The following is a 20,957-nucleotide window of genomic DNA, read 5'->3' on the forward strand; positions in this document are numbered from 1 at the left end:
CCCATCACTTTCAGGTACACCAATCAGACGTAGATTTGGTCTTTTTACATAGTCCCATATTTCTTGGAGGCTTTGTTCATTTCTTTTTATTCTTTTTTCTCTAAACTTCTCTTCTTGCTTCATTTCATTCGTTTGATCTTCAGTCACTGATACCCTTTCTTCCAGCTGATCAAATCAGCTACTGAAGCCTGTGCATGTGTCACGTAGTTCTCGTGACATGGTTTTCATCTCCATCAGGTCCTTTAAGGACTTCTCTGCATTGGTTATTCTAGTTAGCCATTCGTTTAATCTTTTTTTCAAGGTTTTTAACTTCTTTGCAATGGGTTCAAACTTCCTCCTTTAGCTCGGAGAAGTTTGATCGTCTGCAGACTTCTTGTCTCAACTCATCAAAGTCATTCTCTGTCCAGCTTTGTTCCATTGCTGGTGAGGAGCTGTGTTCCTTTGGAGGAGAAGAGGTGCTCTGATTTTAAGAATTTTCAGTTTTTCTGTTTTTTCCCCATCTTTGTGGTTTTATCTACCTTTGGTCTTTGATGATGGTGACGTACAGATGGAGTTTTGGTGTGGATGTCCTTTCTGTTTGTTAGTTTTCCTTTTAACAGTCAGGACCCTCAGCTGCAGGTCTGTTGGATTTTGCTGGAGGTCCACTCCAGACCCTGTTTGCCTGGGTATCAGCAGCGGAGGCTGCAGAACAGAGAATATTGCTGAACAGCAAATGTTGCTGTCTGATCATTCCTCTGGAGGTTTCATCTCAGAGCGGTACCCGGCCGTGTGAGGCATCAGTCTGCCCCTGCTTGGGGGTGCCTCCCAGTTAGGCTACTCAGAGGTCAGGGACCCACTTGAGGAGGCAGTCTGTCTGTTCTCAAATCTCAAACTCCATGCTGGGAGAACCACTACTCTCTTCAAAGCTGTCAGACAGGGACATTTAAGTCTGCAGAGGTTTCTGCTGCCTTCTGTTCAGCTATGCCCTGCCCCCTGAGGTGGAGTCTACAGAGGCAGGCAGGCCTCCTTGAGCTGTGGTGGGCTCCACCCAGTTCAAACTTCCCGGCTGCTTTGTTTACCTACTCAAGCCTCAGCAATGGCAGGTGCCTCTCCCCCAGCCTTGCTGCCACCTTGCAGTTTGATGTCAGACTGCTGTGCTAGCAATGAGCAAGGCTCCGTGGGCGTGGGACCCTCCAAGCCATGTGCGGGATATAATCTCCTGGTGTGCCGTTTGTTAAGACCTTTGGAAAAGCACATTATTAGGGTGGGAGTTACCTGATTTTCCAGGTGCTGTCTGTCACAGCTTTGCTTGGCTATGAAAGGGAATTCCCTGACCCCTTGTGCTTCCCGGGTGACGCCATGCCTCACCCTGCTTTGGCTCATGCTCGATGCGCTGCACCCACTGTCTTGCACCCACTGTCTGACAAGCCCCAGTGAGATGAACCTGGTACCTCAGTTGGAAATGCAGAAATCACCCATCTTCTGCATCACTCACGCTGGGAGCTGTAGCCTGTAGCTGTTCCTATTCAGCCATCTTGGAACTGCCCCTGCTTTCTGCTTTTTGAGAGTAACTCCAAAGTTTGGGCTTACTCATTAAACTCTGTTTTGAAATAATTTTTAAATCTTTAGAAAATGTATTTTCTGTCTTTTCAGGGTATTTGAGAATATGAGTTGTTATATGTACTATCTTTATAAAATATTTATCTTCTTTAATATTCACAGTAACTCTGGATGGTAGATAATATTATCTAGGCTTTCTATAAAACAGAGGATATAGCTCATCCTAAGAGAGAAGAAAGTGACAGATCCAAGATCACACAGCTCATAGACAGCAGAGCATATCTGAAATCCCAGCTGTACTTGATTCTATAGCCCATGATCTTTTCTTGAGCAACAGTCAGGATGGTCTAGTGCCCATTTAGAAGAATGTTTAGTTGAGGTGGGGATCATGCTCTAACGTTTAAGAGACTGTGAAGACATGTTCAGAAATCCTTTCTGACATTACCTGACATAACAAATGTTCACTTATGGCAGATGCATAATTGACTATAAAATGAGTGAGTGCCATTTTGCTACTTGCATGAGTTATGGCAGATCTCCTTAGCAGAACTTGACAGATGTAAGTGAAATCTCAGCTTCCTTTTCTACCCAATTAAAATTCCATGAGCTTTAAAATTTCATAAATAACCCATACTATATTTTTTACATGAATAGGTAGTAAAATTAAAATGGAATTAGAATAGTCTGAAACCCTTGCAAAATAGTAAAAGCTACCCCCAAATATCATTTATAACTTTAAAAATCTCTTGCCAAAAAGTATAGCTGCATGACTCACATTAATAGGTAGTTTTGTATTTCTTATACTTAAAGCTTTCGTGTTATTTATTTATTTATTTATTTATTTTTGAGACAGAGTCTTGCTCTGTCGCCCAGGCTGGAGTGCAATGGCATGATCTCTGCTCACTGGAATCTCTACCTCCCAGGCTCAAGCAATTCTCATGCCTCAGCCTTCCGAGTAGCTGGGATTACAGGCATGCACCACCACATGCATGGCTATTTTTTTTTTTTTTGTATTTTTAGTGGAGACAGGGTTTTGCCATGTTGGCCAGGCTGGTCTCGAACTCCTGGCCTCAAGTGATACACGTGCCTTGGCCTTCCAAAATACTGGGATTACAGATGTGAGCCACTGCACCCAGCCTATCTTCTTTATTGAAAGAAAACTGTACTGTCATTTTAAAATCATTAGACAATTGATTTTTTTTTTTTTTACTCAGAATCTTGTAGAAAAATGGGATCGTAGATAGGATAGGCAAGATAGTCAAGAAAGTTACAACCTTTTATATCTACACATGTCTCAAAGGGCCTAAAGGTTCTCATTAGCCTTTAAATTTACCAGGCAGTCACAAAATTTGTTTGATATAGATTGAACACTGGTTCTTAATAAACGCCATAAAAGAATCTTATGGTTTAGTGTACTCTTTTGACGTCTCTCTCAGAACCTGGGGATTCCTTTGAAGGCTGCTGTTGTTGCTTCTGCTAATACCTCACATGAAATCCTTTGGACAACTGGAGCCATCTAATTCAAAGGAGGCTGAGGGCTATGCCAGAGTTGTTTCTTGACTGGTAAATACCTACTGCCTTGCCTCCAGGAGGGAGATAGCAGCCTGGTACAATTACAGAAACAGGCTGAGGCTAGGTGCACCAGAAATCAATTTCCTGCTTAGCTTCTCTTTTACATCTTACTTCTTTAACTCCCACTGGTCCCCCCAAGAGCATTTTCTTAAAAACAAACAAACAAAAACCAGCCTAAGAATCCTAGCCTCAGGACCTGCTATTAGGGAAGTAGACCTGAGACATGTCACAATTCAATCAACAGGAATTATCTCCCTTGCTTGTGTTTCAAGAGTGTGCTTGTATTGAATTTTGGAATACATTGATGAGTATATATTAATTTAGCTTGCTGGGTGTGTTACTTAACTCTATAGTTCTCTTTTCTTTGCCATCTTCTTCCAGTGGTGGAGGAATACTAGAGTTATCTATTGTAAACATTATAATAAATTTTATTGAACAGTTGATTATTGAAATAAATGACTTATATTATTGATATTTGAGAAAAGTTACTAAAAGTATGATGCATTGGAAGGTCACAATTAATGGTAATCACCTTTTCCCTTCTTGTATGCTTTGGAAATAATTTTATAATCAAGTTTATGTCTTTTTGCTCCAGATTTTATTGTCTCCCACCCATCTCTCCTCTCGGCAGCATCTCACTGTGTTTTATGATTGTCGGTTGTACCAGACTGCAAATACAACAGATATGAAACGGAAACCTATGTTTTTCCCATCTGATATGGACACTGTTAATTCATAAGAAAGCTGTTTTGCCATTATTAGAAAAAAAAAAAAAAAGAAAGCAAACAGCTGGTTTGATGGAAAAGCTGCCCTAATCCCTAGAGAATGGGAAGTTCAGACGTGATATAAACTGACAGAGGGTGAAAAAATAATCTTCAGGCTGATAATTTAGTGCAGCTATCATGGGCAGGACTGGATGGCATTTGCCACAGCAGAGAAAACAGGGTATCCTGTGGTTGTACAGCATACTTAGAAAAGGTGACACTGGGAGATAATAATCAGCTTACCAATGTTTACAGTAATGAAAGAGTGATAAGGAATGGAGAACTGAGATTTTGGAATAAGTTCACATGTAAAGGAGGTTTGCCTGCTTAGAATCTTCCTACAATTATTGTTCTGTCTCAGTTGATATTTTCCTAAACACCAGTAGAGGCCTCCAGACACTTCATTAAGTAAACAAACATACCAAGATGCTAACACCATCCACACACGGGGGAGAGCTGACATCCATCGTGTCCACTGACTCTGTAGAGCGCAAATGAAATCTTTGATGATGATTTCAGTGAGAATCAGCTATAATTAAGGGAGGTGCTAACCTTTGTGGTAAAACCTGCCCAAATATCCGTTAAAAAAATACTTGGTCCAGAATGGAAATAAGTCATGGTAAATATGATTGTTATCTTAGATCACATTTAACCCAATATCATAATATGAGAATTTTTGTTAGGCTTTCTAAAAAGCCTATTTTAGATCACATTTAACCCCATATCATAATATGAGCATTTTTGTGAACAATTTATTGTATTGTTAATAACAAGTTCTCTCAAGCTAACTAATGTGTTCAGCATTGGAATCAAAAGACCAGAAGTGGAGAAGAATCAAAATGAGGTAATGCCAAGACCCCCAGCCTGAGTTATTTAGCAAGTACAACTTTTCTTCAACACATTTTGAACTGAGTATAATCCTAGCAAAAAAGTTTGCTAAATAGTGACTAGCCATGACAACTTTATAGAAAATATAACTAATGTAACTCATAAACAGCCTACTCGTAGTAGTCTAAGGCACCTATTTTATTTGTGTATAAATGCATTTATACGTGTGTTTGCAAATAAGCACCTAGCTCTACATGATGACTGTTGATAAACTAACTACATGTTTTAATGAATAACCACAATGAGAATCATCCAAGTGCTACAACATCCCAGGGTGTCCGCAAATACAGGACAGAGGCTGCCTCCAAGGTAAATCTCCCTCAGATTCTGGGTGTCATTGATAAAATTCTCAAAGCATCAGCCCCTTCATAACTGCTTTAAGAAACTCCAGCAGCTTCTTTATATATTTCCCACTTCTCTGGCTATACCTTTCGCTGACAGTATAAATACATTCATTTTGCTGTCACATTAATTGATTTTAGCTAATTAGGAGCATTTTTTGGCCCTAATTTGATAAGGAAGTGTGAATGCATTTTTTCCCCCACAGCAGGCTTGTTATTTGCTGGAGTATTAGGAGAGTGTTAATTAGGCACAGTTCTTCTGTCACCTTGATGATTTTTAAGCAGCATTTACCCTATAGACTAAACTGATCAGAGAGGAAGCTGGGTTTCAGCCATCGGTGATAAATGTTGAATTAGGTTAGTTACCTGTGGAATAGAAATCTGAAAGAGGGGACTATGTGTATGACAAAGAAATACCATATTTTTTCTTTCTATTCACAAATGTTCCTCATGGCTGACCTCCGCACCCCCACCTGCATTTCAGACCCTCTCAAGAGGCTGCAGGAATCCTCCTCTGTCTTCAGTCATTGAACATTCCCTCAACCCTCCAGCATCCAGTTGGGTGTTCATCCTGACCCTTCTTAATTTTAAAGCAAAAGGCACAGGTTTTGAAAATTCACTGGCCCTAAAGTGTTTGCAGAAGGTCTTTTGAACAGTTTGGACCCTGGGATTTCTTTGTTCAATCACTTCTGCTGCAGGCAAAGCTGGGCCGACTGTCTGCTGTCTGCTTGCAGCAGGGAAGCAAAGGGAAACAAACAACAGAGCAGTTTGAAATTCCTGCTAGGAGCTTGTTTGGAGATGGAGCCTCTACAGTGTCTTTTGTTTATTTGTGGAGCTTTTTGTAGGGAAGAGCTGGGATATGCATAAAAAGGAGCTTGAAACAAGTAACCATTTAGGAAAGGAGGAAAAGATGTTTGACAACAGTATTTTTAATTTTAAGGTGGGGAGAAATGCTCATTTATCTAATGTGAGTCTTCTCTAAAGATACAGTTGCTCTCTGAGGCACGTGCTTTGTTTTTTTCTTACAGCTTTACACTAATCATTTAAACATTTGTCTCCCATCCTGCTTGTGACCAATCTATAAATAATAGAAGTAAATAAAATAACTGAATGTCTTCCAGTTTTTTCATTCTACCATTTGGATTCCGCAAATCAAACCTTGAACGTTAGTCCCACTACCAAAAGACCGATTTGATTGTTACAGTGTTCATTGGAAATATCTGCTGGTGCCTGCTGTTTATAACTATCTTTGAATCATAGAAAATAATAGGATGTAGGGAGGAGCCCTTTAGCAGAATACATGGTTTTCAGAAAGAAGTGATAAAGTGGAAAGAATATGATATTTGGAGATTCTACCCGTCACTTGCTTCTAAACTTCATTACCTGGTCTTAATGAGTCTTAGTTGTTTCCTTTGTAAAATGTAGATAATAATGCCTATCTTCTAGCATAGTTATCTATATTTTTTTGTCATGCAAATTTGTTACATGGGCATATTGCATGATATGGAGTTTTGGGGTACAAATGATCCCATCACCCAGGTACTGAGCTTAGTAACCAATAGTGAGTTTTTCAACCCTTTCCCCCATGTCTCTTTCACCCCTAATAGTCCCCAGTTTCTATTGTTGTCATCTTTATGTCCATTAGTACCCAGTGTTTAGCTCCCTATTAGTAGTGAGAGTATGTGATATTTGGTTTTCTGTTCCTGCATGAATTCGCTTAGGATAAAGGCCTCCAGCTGCATCCATGTTGCTGCTAAGGACATTATTTTATTCTTTTTTATGGCTGTGTAATATTCCACAGTGTATATGTAGCACATTTTCTTCATCTAATCCACCATTGATGGGCACTTAGGTTGATTCTATGTCTTTGTGAATAGTGCTGTGATGAACATACGAGTGCGTGTGCACTTTTTGGTAAAGTGATACGTTTTCTTTTGGATACATACCCAGTAATGAATTGCTGTGCTGAATGATAGTTCTGTTTCAGTTTCTTTGAGAAATTTCCAAACTGCTTTTCACAGTGGCTAAACTAATTTACATTCCCAACAACATATAAGCATTCCCTTTTCTCTGTTGCCTCACCAGCATCTGTAATTTTTTGACTTTTTAATCCTAACCCATTCTGATTGGTTTGAGATGGTATCTTGTTGTGGTTTTGATTTGCATTTCTCTGATGATTAGTGATGTTGAGCATTTTTTCATGTTGTTAGCTTCTTTTATGTCTTTTGAGAAGCATCTGGTCACGTCTTTTGCCCAATTTTTTAAGGGGGTTGTTTCTTGCTTGTCCAATTGCTTACATTCCTTATAGATTCTAGATATTAGGCCTTCATCAGATGTGTAGTTTGCAAATATTTTCTTCCATTCTGTAGGTTGTCTGTTCACTCTGTTGATAGGTGTTTTTTTTTTTTTTTTTTTTTTTTTGAGATAGAGTCTCACTCTGTCACCCAGGCTGGAGTGCAGTGGTGAGATCTCCACTTACTGCAAGCTCTGCCTCCTGGGTTCAGGCCATTCTCCTGCCTCAGCCTCCCTAGTAGCTGGGACTACAGGCACCCGCCACAATGCCCGGCTAATTTTTTTGTATTTTTAGTAGAGACAAGGTTTCACCATTTAGCCAGGGTGTTCTCGATCTCCTGACCTGGTGATCCACCTGACTTGGCCTCCCAAAGTGCTGGGATTACAGGCATGAGCCACTGCGCCTGGCCAATAGTCCCCCCCACCAGCCTCCTCCTGCAGAAGTGCTTTAGTTTAATTGGATTCTACTTGTCAATTATTGTTTTTGTTGCAATTGTTTTTGAGGACTTCCAACGCCAGTGTCCAAAATGGTGTTTCCTAGGTTTTCTCCTAAGATTCTTATAGTTTGAGGACTTACGTTTAAATCTTTAATCCATCTTGAGTTAATTTTTTTTATATGGTGAAAATAGGTGTCCAGTTTCATTCTGCATATGGCTACCCAGGTATCCCAGCACTATTTATTGAATAGGGAGTCTTTTTCCCATTCTTATTCTTGGTGACTGTCAAAGATCAGATGACTGTAGGTGTGCAGCTTTATTTCTGGATTCTCCTGGCACTTCTTAATTTTAAAACAAAAGTCACAACCATTTAACACTGGTTGTCAAGGAGTAGGTAATCAATAAACATTTGCATGTGTAGCATCATCTCATGTATTTATTTGTTTGCTTATGTGATTATTATCCTTTGTCCCCCATTAATATAAGCTTCATGAGGATAGGCCTGTGTCTTATTCACCACTGTGTCCCCAGCTCTTGGCCTGTGACAGACAATAAATATTTATTGTATAGTTTGATGAAGTGTCAGCTATTAGGAACCTAATGTTAATATTGTTGTTATTTTTGTAGTTAAAATTCACTAGCTAAATAATTTCCAATACAGATGCAAATTATATAAAAACATAAGCAGTATTTCCTAACAGAAAGTTACTGAGTAAATAGAATGCTGGAAATGAATTCTGTAAACTTCTATGTTAGGAACACAAGAAAAGATAAGCAAAGCAAAGCCAAAGGAAATAGAAAAAAGGAAATTCTAAAAGTAAGAAATCAATGAAGTAGTGTTTTTATAACAATCAAATAAAATTTGAGAAACCAATGAAATAGAAAACTAATATGAAACAGAGAAAATCGACAACTAAATTAGATTTATTGAAAAGGCTAATATAATTGATAAATCCTTTACAAAACTGACCAGGAGAAAAGAGAGAAAAAAATTACAATTTCAGAAATTAAAAAGTGGTTATTAGTATGAATGCTAACAACATTTAAAAAGACAATATTGAAAAACTTTAGTCATCTACTGTATAGATGAAACGGAAAAATTTTATGAAAAACAATACTTACCAAAAGTGATACAGTCTAAATGATCATAGTCTAAATGATCTGTTGAGGAAATTGAATATATTATTATCTTAAGTGATCATTATAAGAAGGTAATCATTATTTAGTGCTAATAAGTAAAAATACATAGTCATGCACTGCTTGATGTTAGCAATATGTTCTGAGAAATGCATCATTAAGCAAGTTTGTCATTGCGTGAACATCAAAGAGTATACTAACAAACCTAGATGGTATAGCCTACTACACACCTAGGCTAGATGATATAGTCTGTTGCTCCTAGGCTACAAACCTGTACAGCATGTTACTGTACTGATTACTGTAGGCAATTGTAACACAATGGCAAGTGTTTGTGTATCTAACCCTGTCTAAAACATAGAAAAGGTGCAGTCAAAGTACAGTGTTACAATCTTATGGGACCACCATTGTTAACCAAAATGTGATGCAGCATATGACTATATTATCATTTTTAATATGCAAAGAGTATTATATGTATTATTAGACATATTATAAGCCATTTATAAACCACTTTCACTAAGACATTTTAGGTGGTTTTCAAATTGCTGCCATTCTAAACAGTACCTGGGCTCCTTTTAGAATGACTATGGTGTTCTGCTTCTGGCTATCTGTCATATATGTTCCATTCCACCATCATTCCCTGCCAGTTGCACACTATTCACATGACAGTGAGAAATGCCCTCCCAATACATGCAGTGATCTTAATCATCTGAGAAATCCATTTTCCCAAGACAGCATTTCATAAGCTTGTTCTAAAATCGTATTCCTACAGACCATTCCTGTTCAGAAATTTTAGAAGGTCTAGGTAAAAAAAAAAAAAATTAAAGATTTATTACTTAGTTTCTTCTGTATTAACTGAGGAAGCTAGGAACCATGGGGCAGTTGTTCTAGGACTTTAATTAATATTTTGTACATTTTTAACCTAAACTGTAAGGTGCTCCTTTTGTAAGCATAATTTAAATATTTACTAATGCTTAAAGTTTTCAGGTTTTCTTATTCTAATAGAATCACCAAATTCTGGTTAAGAAAAGAAAGAAAAGCAAATATTTGAAAACATATGGGCTTTTCATTTTTCTCAACACTATTTCCATCTAAGTGAATGCAGATTAGACTTTCAAAGTATTAGATAGATGTTCATAATTTATTACTTTATAGTTCAAAAGCAAGGGCAAAATTTATTTCTGCAGCACTATATATGTAAATGAGAGTAAAAGAGGGCAATTCTGAGCTCCCTGCAGGAAATTATTCACAAAAGGAAAACAGAATGGTCCTTCTTCACTGGAGATGCAACATCCACACTCGTGAATGCGGTTGACTCCTTGTTGTAGCTCTCTAAGACAGAGATAATAAAGAGGAGATAAATCTGTTGAATGAATTGCACAAAACAGACCTGGTCGGGGACTCAAACCGTGTAAAATTTAATTGGAGTCAAGCAGGGAGAGAAACTTCCACCTCAAAATATATGGTAGATGGTATCTTCTTTCTTTAAAATGTTTTGGCAAGAGAAGCCAATTCATAACAATGTTCAATGTCACTTTCCCAGGAAAATATGTCTTGGGATATGATTAATTCAGTTGCCTTTTGATAAATAAAAAGTGGTCTTGCATCCATTTCATTCCCTTTAATCTGTCATTTTACTCTGGTTTATAGTGAGTCCAATGCTTGGAGGTATAAGACAAAATTTATAAAAACAAAAGGAATAGAGTGGAGAAATGTGTCATCATGCATTTTTATTTTTCCATGCTTTTAAGAAAACTTCTTACTGACTTTGTACTGTAGTACCAAAGTAACATTGGGTAGCCATCATTTGGGGGCAATTTGCTCTGGCAAACTTGCCCACTAACCATAGACATTTGCTAAAGTGTTTTTTTTTTTTTCCTCCAAAATTGAAAAGCCACAATAGGATTTTCCTAATGTAGAGATAGAGCTGCTTTAAGTCCGAAGAAAGGTGACAGTATAGTAGGATAAATTCACTAATTGTTTTCCAAATAAAATCTGTGAAAAAAATTTAAATGAACATCTGTTTGAAGAATAGAGCTATTAAAGAGAATGTTCTGCACAAACAATATGCCATGCAGAATAGTTGTACAAATAATGCTGTGAAATTGTTTAATTAACTCATAAAAGAGGGAATCTAGTAGAGGAAATGTATGCGGTACACTATGGAGCTGTTTGACAGTCTTCAAGAGCAGATGTGATTATGATTATAATTATTTTAGTAAATCGAGCCATAATTTCTCTTTCTGTTGTAAAATAAGGTGAAGTATATTATGAATCCTAAGTAGGACCAATCTTTAGGCATAAATAATTCATGGAAATTCTGACTTTCGTTGGAGCCACAGCATTGCTATCATTTTCTTCTTTTCATCGAGGTATACCTTTGTAAATACAATGGAGAAGAGCAAGTATTCAACGCGTGGCTCAGAGGTAAAGAGGTTGAATTTTATGTGTGCTTTGTGGAAATTGGTTTCAATATTTTATAGATATGTATGCTTTTCATCATAGATTTGGATGTCCACAAACCAAATGTTTTTGCTTCTAGGAAGTACCAGTTACTTATAAAATCATCATATGTAGTGGGTATGGAGTAATATTATTTGCTTTATTGCCAGGAAAATGCAATCAGAGACCTTACATTATTGAACACGAAAGGCTACATCAGCAGTTTTGTGTGTGTGAGGTCAACCAGTGTTACTTGAAGTAGATTCATTGACCATATATTACATATTAAGTTTGTTTAATATTATTATGCAAATGTATCAGATGTATGCAACTCCATTATTTTTCATCCTTTCCCATTTTGGAAATTGCATAATTTTATATTCATAACTTTAGTTAGTAATTACGGGAATTTTACGTTTTCTGTGTATTGCCTTTATCTCTCTTATTAACTGAAATTACTCCTGGAAGGAAATTAATCAGACAAATTAGTATGCTTATTCATGAAACCTAGATTATAGTAAACCCTAAGATTAAGACTAATGAAACAATTACTTATTTAATCATTAATGAAAATAGGAATATTGCTCAGATATCTGACAGTAAGTGTAGCAAGCTTTGGAAGTAGACAAATGAATGTGTTTTTCTTGACTGCTCTTTCATGAAAGCAAGATTATCATCACTTGCTGGGAATTTTGCTCTCATATGCAACATTTTCCCTAGGAAAAAGTCCCTTCTTACAAAAGAGAAATCCAATTTCTCCAATAGACACCTCTCTATGAAACTTAAGCTATTCTGACTCTTACATTTCAAAATGTAAGATGTATATGAATGTATTCGTAAGCCGAGGTTATATACACTTATTATGGGCACAATTCTTCTGACACTTTCTAAGAATAAACACTGTGAACTCAGAAAATCTGAGCCAGGTCTCAGTTAATTTAGAAAGTTTATTTTGCCAAGGTTGAGGACCCACCCGTGACACAGCCTCAGGAAGTTATGACGACATGTGCCCAAGGTGGTCAGGGCACAGCTTGGTTTTATACATTTTAGGGAGACAGGAGACATCAATCAATATATGTAAGAAGTATATTCCTTGGGTCTGGAAAGGCAGGACAACTTGAAGCAAAGGCAGGAGGACCACAAAAGGGGAGGGAGTTTCCAGGTCACAGATAGGTGATACACAAGCGGTTATTACATTCTTTTGAGCTTCTGATTAGCCTTTCCAAAGGAGGCAAATCAGATATGCATCTATCTCAGTGAGCAGAGGGGTGACTTTGAATAGAACAGGAGTCAGATTTGCCCTAAGAAGCTACCAGCTTGAGTTTTCCTTAGTGATTTCGGAAGTCCAAGATATTTTCCTTTCATAACACTGTACTAGAAGTAAAATTATCCGGTCAAGACATTTTTAAAAAACAAATCTAAAATTTTTAATCTAAGTTAATAGATATTTTAAAAAGCAAAATATACAACAAGGCTAGCATGAAAAATCCACAATCTTCTCGATATGTCATTTCAACCAACTTTTTGGTGCCCAGAAACAATTATTATTCAGTTGTTTCTCCTTTAAGTTTTCCTGATGGTTGCCGTGATGTCGGGCTGCTTTTCTTGTTTCTAAACTTTAGATGCTAACAGAAAGTTAGTGACTTTCTGCTATAATAGCTGAAGATACTATTCAAAGCACTTTTCACATCCTGTTTCTTCTATCTCTAAAAAAGCTCTGGATTAATAACTTTTTTACCTGATTTAAATATTATATTTAAAATATCAATTTCTTGTTCTATCAAATCCAGACACCACCTCTTGATTCTCCACATTGGAAGATGAGAATATCAGCATTCCTAACATTTCCTTACCCTGCTTTCCCTCATATTTGGTTGACTGAAAACAATTTAGGACACCCAGTTAGATTTGAATTTCAGATAAACAACTAATTTTTTAGATAAGTATGTCTTAATTTTGTATGGCATACACTTATATTCAAATATTTTCATTTGGAAAATAATAGATAAGCAATATTTGATGAATTACACCTAAGAAAGAATAATTTATTTGGAGGTATATTAAAAACAAGCCTACCAATTCATGTTGCATAACTCCCAAAGTCTTAGCATATTTTAGATACTTCTAAACTGAGCTTAGACACTGAAGCCAAAATCCGGAAGATTGGTGGAAAGTTCTATCTAAGGAGGAACTAGACTCCCAGATTATTTCCCCAAGCTTTCACAACTAGGTAAAAAATTCTAAGTCCCACCCTAGCAGAGAAAAAGAAGTTCCTCTTTCTTTTTTGCGAAGTCAATACAGGGAGGCTTTTATTGCAGGGACAGCAGACAAAGCTAAGGGCAAGGTGTGACCCTGAATTTGAAAGAAGACTGAATAAAAGTCTGTATTCTGTCTGGAGAGTCCCATTTTCCTTTTTCACTCTCAGGATGCTGATGGCAGCATAATTTAGCAGGAGGGTTCCTATCCTTGCCTCAAAAGATTGGGTCAAATAAAAAAGCTTATAAAAACTGTAATTGGGACTCCTCAGGTGAAATAGCGTGGTCCCTACCTTATCACTCATGGAGAGACCTATCAATCCACAACTTTCGTTACCCAAGCAGAGTTTTCGATCCTTTTTTTTTTTTCAGGACTGCATTCTTAAATACAGATTGCTGGCCAGGGAAAACCAGACATTTGAAGCCTCTGATATGAAAGATAAACTCCAAAATTTAAAAGTAGAAAAGGAGGACTCAGAGGAAACAAAGTTCATAAAATAATAAAACTTAAAAAACAAATGAACTACAATTAAAGTTATCAGTAAGATAAGATACTGCATTTGAAACAAGAACAGGATCTTTTAACAAGAGAGCATTCCTGAGCAAGATAGATTTCTTGCATACTACATGCAGGCTAAGAGAAACCTTCAAATCAATTAGAAGTTTAGAATATGTATATTTGAGGTAATCGTCCCAGAATAAGAATCAAAAGACAAAAAATAAAAAATTTGGAGGAAAACTTAGGAAAATAATATTTTTCATAAAGATACAAAAACTGAATAATATGAATTCCAAAAAAGAAACAAAAAATCAAAGGAGAAAAGTTTTCAAAGAAGTAATATATTTCCTACAATTGATGAACACAAGTCTTTAGACTGAAAGAGTTTACCAGGAGTTTAGGAAGAAAAAAAGTCCGTGAAAAAATACCAGTACTAGAGAAATGGATCATGAAATGTCAGAACATCAGGGAAGAAGAAAATAAATCTTTAAAGTTCTGAGAAAGTGAGAAACAGAGAAGGAAAGAGGAGAGGAGAGAGAGAAATAGAGAAAGAGAAGAAGAAAAAAGAGGTGGAGGAGAGAATCATATCAAATAATTCAAACATGAATAGCATTAGCTTTTCAACAGAACTATTGAAACCTGGAAAACAGTACAGCAGTGTGTAAAAATCTTGAGGGGAAATAATTTTCAACCTGGAATACCATATTCAGATAAATTATCAATAAAGTGTAATGGCAGAGGCCAGGCGCAGTGGCTCACGCCTGTAATCCCAGCACTTTGGGAGGCCAGGGTGGGCAGATCACCAGGTTGAGAGATCCAGACCATCCTGGTCAACATGGTAAAACCCTGTCTCTACTAAAAATAGAAAAATTAGCTGGGTGTGGTAACGTGCACCTGTAGACCCAGCTACTCCAGAGGCTGAGGCAGGAGAATCCTTGAACCCAAGAGGCGGAGGTTGCAGTGAGCTGAGATCATGCCACTGCACTCCAGCCTGGTGACAGAGCGACACTCAGTCTCAAAAAAAAAAAAAAAAAAAAAAAGTGGCAGAAATGAAAACTTTTCAGTCATTCAACATCTCAAAAATGTACTTACCATGCAACCTTTTCCAGAACACCATTGAAAGATTTGCTAGCAACAAAGTGAAATAAACCAAGAAAGAGTAAAAATGGGATCCAAAACACACAGGCCAAACAGAAGGAAGAGGAAGAGAATTTCCAGAATAATGATGAAAGAAAATCTGAGGAAAACTGTTTTAGCAAGTCCAAATTGGAACAAGGGAGAATATTGAGTAGGTATTGAAAGCTTATCTATCTGTTAACTAGCTTGATTTAGCCATTCCACACTGTATACATATTTCAGAACATCATGTTGTACACTATAAACATATGTAATTTTTTGTCAATTTAAATAATTATTTTTTAAAAAGAAAGCTTACCTGATTTGTGCTACACTCATAATTAAGGCATACTTTTAAAGTTCTGTTTGAAAGTTTGTGGATGAACTACTGTTACTTTAAAGCAAAATGAATTAAAAAAAAGAGAGGCAATTACTAACTCTAAGACAAATAAAATGTTGGCCAGGTGGGGTGGCTCATGCCTGTAATCTCAGCACTTTGGGAGGCTGCAGTGGGCAAATCACTTGAGGTCAGGAGTTCAAGACCAGCCTGGCCAACATCTCTACCAAAAATTCAAAAAAATTAGGTGGGTGTGGTGGCATGTGCTTGTAATCCCAGCTACTTGGGAGGCTGAGGCAGAAGAATCACTTGAACCCAGGAGGTAGAGGTTGCAGTGAGCCGATATCAAGCCACTGCACTCCAGCCTGGCTGACAGAGCAAGACTGTCTCAAAAAAAAAAAAAAAAAGTTTATAACAAAGGAAATACGTACACAGTGTATTGTCTGTATGAGCTATAAAATATTTATAGAAATGGCCGGGCGTGGTGGCTCACACCTGTAATCCCAGAACTCTGGGAGGCCAAGGTGGGTGGATCACGAGGTCAGGAGTTCAAGAGCAGCCTGGCCAAGATGGTGAAACCCTGTCAGTACTAAAAATACAAAAATTAGCTGGGCATGGTGGTGGGTGCCTATAATCCCAGCTACTTGGGAGGCTGAGGCAGAGAGTTGCTTGAACCCGGGAGGTGGAGGTTGCATTGGGCCAAGATCATGCCACTGCGCTCCAGCCTGGGCAACAGAGCAAGATTCCATCTCAAGAAAAAAAGCATTTATAGAAATGATTATCTGTTAAATACTAATTTGATAAAATGATGATGATATAACTAGATTGAAAAAATATTGAGAAGTTCAGAGAGAGGGAGAGATAAAAGTGAAAGTTTGCATAGCAGAATCAAATCCTCCGCTTGCATTATTGAAAGGCCTTAGACAATATAAAAAAACTGAAAAATCAAGATATAGATACATATTTTGTTTGTAAAGAAGAGGCATAACATGGTTTGGATATGTGTCCCTTCCAAATCTCATGTTGAAATGTGATCCCCAATGTTAAAGGTGGGGTCTAGTGGGAGGTACTGGATCATGGGAGTGTATACCTCATCAATGGCTTAGTGCCATCCCCTCGGTGATAAGTGAGTTCCTGCTCAGTCAGTTCATGCAAGATCTGGTCATTTAAAAGAGTTTGGGACCGTCCCCTTCTCTCTCTCACTCCCTATCTCAGCATGTGTTACATCTGCCCCCCTTTCACCCTCCTCCATGATTGGAAGCTTCCTGAGGCCCTCACCAGGAGCAGATACCGCACTATGTTTCCTCTACAGCCTGCAGAACCATGTGCCAAAATAAACCTCTTTTCTTTATAAATTACCCAGTCTCAGGTATTCCTTTATAGCAATTCAAATGGACTAACACAAAGTGAATGCCAGGAAAATACAACTCCAACAAACGAAAATGATGGCTTGTGCTGATCAGGACTTGGGAGTAGAGAGGGGTGGAGCAGAAGTCAACTTTTTTCTTTTGTTAGTTACCTATAAAGGTATTTGACATTTATTATTTTATATACATTAAAATAATGTATATAATATATAATATACAATATATAATTAAATGACCAAATAGATGAAAGTATTACATGTTCCTTTTTTTATAGAAAGGGAGAAAAGAAACCAATTAAGCCATATAAACCAAGTAAAATAAAGCATCAGAGTAGCTCCAAGTGTGGACACATGGAACAATTCATAGTATAATTTGCAAGCTTATTAGAAACATGAGGTGAGCCACAGACAGGGCAGGTTTCTTCTTTGTGTTCACAGCCCTAAGGCTTTTCAGGGGAGCTGCAACAGGCTTATATGACAGATATAAGCTCCGGTGGAGCGGAGAGGCACCACCGGGCTACTGTGGTAATAGCCGTAGACGCTCATGATCCAGAGGTTGATGCATTGCATCTTTCTTCTTCTTCTTCTTTTTTTGTTGTTGTTTTTGTTTTTTGAGACAGGGTCTGGCTGTCTCCATCACACCTGACCTATTGCATCCTTCTTGGACACTGTTTTAAGAGCCTGGAAAATATATCACTACCAAAATAAGAATGACATTGTGACACTTTGCAGACCAGGGCAATTCTTTTGACTTCCACCATTTGAAGTGATCATCAAACATCATAGAAACACCTGGTTTTGGGCTGGTCATGGTGGCTCAAGCCTGTAATTCCAGAACTTTGAGAAGCTGAGGCAGGAGGATTTATTGAGGCCAGGAATTCATGACCAGCCTGGGCAACAACAAAGTGAGACCTTGTCTCTAAAAAAAAAAATTAAAAAATTAGCCAGGTGTCGTGATGTGCTCCTGCAGTCTCAGCTACTTGGGAGGCTGTGGGAGGGTCTTTTGAGCCTACAGAGAGCTATGATTGCACCACTGCACTCCAGCCTGGGAGATAGAACAATATCTCATCTCTAAAACAAACAAACAAAAAATAGACCTGGTTTTGTTTGGAAAAGCTTTGAAGGCAAATAAAAATCAGAAGGAAAAGAAGAGGGAAAAAACCCTGTATTTTGTTATGAGATAGGCCCCGTTTAAGACACTTAAACGTATATTATGTCACATATATATTTTGAGTCAATAGGAATTAAATATAGTTACTTACATACAGCAAAGAAAATAACTCATAGATTTCCAGGAGCTATCATAGCTTTTATAGGAATGTGCCTAGCCCATTAGGATTCAATTTTTTATGGGTTTAGTAGGACATCACTAACAATGCAAGGGTAAGCTACACTAACAAAATTATGGGCCCAGATCAAGGATGATAATGGTTTCACTGTACTTTGTTTGCGTCATACCACATTTGGAGTGCTGTGGGATTTGGATGTCATATGGGGACACAGGCTGAATGAGAAACAATGACTGTGAGGAGAACCAAACCCAGACTGTATAAGGAATAGGTGAAAGGACCAAGGCATTAAGCCTGGAGGAAGAGAGGCTTACTACAGCACGTTATGGCTATCTTGCCGTATTTTAAGTACACTTAAAATACAGAATAGAAAAGGAATGGATTCCTTCTGGATTGTTTCTGAGATTGGAACTGGTACATGGATAGAAGTTATAGGAGGCATTCAACAGAAGCATTTTCTAACAAGTAGTGAATGATAGAATATCATGTCTCACAAATTGCTTTCTGATCCTTCATTGGAAGTGTTCAAGGAACAACCAGATTGTCCTCAATTAAGCACTTTAAGAGAGGATTCCTGCATTGGAATTGAAGTTGGACCAGTTTGGATTTAAAGACTGATAAAGGTCTAATACTCTTAAGTTTTTAGATATGACAATCTTGAAATTCAGTCTCCAAATACTGATTATTCAATAAATAAACATTGGCAGCTTTCTATGTGTCAGGAAACGAGAGACATTGTTCCTGCCTAGTGAAGCATTACATCCAGCAGAGGGGATAAGAATTAGGCAGATGACTGGATAAATAATTGTAATTGTAATAAGCATGATGCAGAAATAAAGATTATATGGCAACATATTACACAGGCTCTAATATAGGCTGGAGGGTATGGGAAGGCTTCTTTAAGAAAGTGATGTTTTAAGTGGAGACCCAAAGGCTGAGTTAGCTACTAGGAAACTACTTTTGATTCAGTGTCAAGGTCTAGAAAAGTGTCTTTTATTAGAAAACAACACATATTGAAAAAGAATTCTGCCTTAGCGTTCAACCAGTCTTGAAATGTCCTTGAACACCTCCCATACTTATTGACATTAACTATTGGCATGCTATTAATATTGGCTAAAGGTTGACCTTCTTCTTTATGGGAAGTTCTCCTTTGCTTACAAGCCAGTCAGTTTGCTTTGGATTTATACTTTGGGTCCTTTTAGTTTGAGTGAGTGATTTGTGTTGTTGTTATTGTTGGCTCTAACTGATACCAGGACAGACTATTCTATACTTGTAGGCACCCAAAAGTGTCAGATTCTGAATTATAGTCACAGAGGTAAGTGAAGTTGCTTTTTTGCCCTTGACTTTAGAGCTCAAAAGACTGTTTAAATGCCACTTGAAAAACAAAGAAGGAATGAAGAATGGTTCTAGGAGTAAATGAACTCATCCTTCTCCCGAGCATATTTCAGAAACCTAGAGAGAGAAATCTTTTATCTAAATTAAAGACGGACCCTCACAAAACCTCAAAGAGATCTGATGATATAAATGGAGTAGCCAGGGCTTATGAAGTGCCGGTGGATAATTACAATCTGAGATTTATTGGTGACCACTCTTGTGTCAGTGAAAGGTTGGCTGACCAGATAAAACCAGGCATTGGCTAGAGGGAGGACTCTTGAACCACTCAATCTTTTGAAATTTCTAAGGAGTTTTCCAAGGGGTAAATCAGCATTCACATGCTATGTAAGAAGATCTTTACATACAGCAGATGGATTCAGCTGGGTTAGGTTGCTTCATTGGACAATGTCCAATTCAGTATCTGAGAAACGTCATCATGCTTTAGGTCTTAGGGATATCCATCATGCCTACTAAGAGTAAAATGAGCATTTCTATGTCTATGAGGTATGTTATTGAATCCATCATGTTAATTATCTTCAGATCAATTAAGGAATACAGCATTGGCATTTGACATGGACCATGTAATCAGTGTCACCTAAAACATGATTATGAGGACACCCTTGAATGAAGTTGTAGTTTTCATAGTGTGAGTCATGGTAAAACACTAAGATAGTGGCTTTTGTTTAACACTTGTTAGTAGTGGGGCTACTAAGATGCTATGCGCATACAGTAATAACGTGGGTCTTTTCCTTATCATAATGCTCTATCTTCTAGTTGATACTGGATCTGTAGACCAAGTGACTGTGGCAGGTAAATGGATGAATTTAGGGGGGAAAATTATGAGCATACTTTTTAGGAATAGTTAGGTAATCAAGACTAATGGGAACTTTTGTTGATCAACATGACTGTACCCTGAAATGTGTCTTTGGGCTTTCAGAAACACGGTATAATTTCTTCCTCAAAGATCTGCTTGCTATGTTACATGGGTACAGAGCCTTGGGTGTGAAGATGACAACCATAAGAAAGAGACAAAAGAATCTGGCAGCAAAAGCAACCCCAGCAAAACAAAGCAGAAATTAGAGAAATTAATAAATTGAGTGAAATTATATTACTCAAGTTCTTCATTTTCTAAATAGGCTTTTATTTTCCATGAAATTACTTTACAGTTTTAACTAACTTTTTACTATCATTTTATCCAAGAGGCTTTGGCTGGAAGTGTGCCCTGGTAGGTCTAATGTTGTTAATCATTTGAATTCTTCTGCATAACTTTCAGGTTTGGTTACTCATTGATTGACTCTTCAGACTTAAATGA

At 37.5% G+C, this 20,957-nt stretch overlaps 2 long non-coding RNA genes across 2 annotated transcripts in view; one reads left to right on the forward strand and one right to left on the reverse strand.

Annotated features, from left to right (window-relative positions):
• The window catches only part of MMADHC-DT (MMADHC divergent transcript), a 260,877-nt gene that overhangs the window by 207,869 nt on the left and 32,051 nt on the right, over positions 1-20,957 (forward strand). The gene's annotated exons all lie outside the window — the stretch shown is intronic.
• Positions 1-20,957, reverse strand: part of LINC01931 (long intergenic non-protein coding RNA 1931) — a 91,686-nt gene that overhangs the window by 27,721 nt on the left and 43,008 nt on the right. The window contains exon 3 of the long non-coding RNA NR_145421.1: positions 8,956-8,994. This is a non-coding gene — a long non-coding RNA (long intergenic non-protein coding RNA 1931). The remainder of the gene's footprint in view (positions 1-8,955; positions 8,995-20,957) is intronic.

The sequence above is a fragment of the Homo sapiens genome, chromosome 2 (genome assembly GCF_000001405.40).
Source record: "Homo sapiens chromosome 2, GRCh38.p14 Primary Assembly".
Classification (NCBI taxonomy): domain Eukaryota; kingdom Metazoa; phylum Chordata; class Mammalia; order Primates; family Hominidae; genus Homo; species Homo sapiens.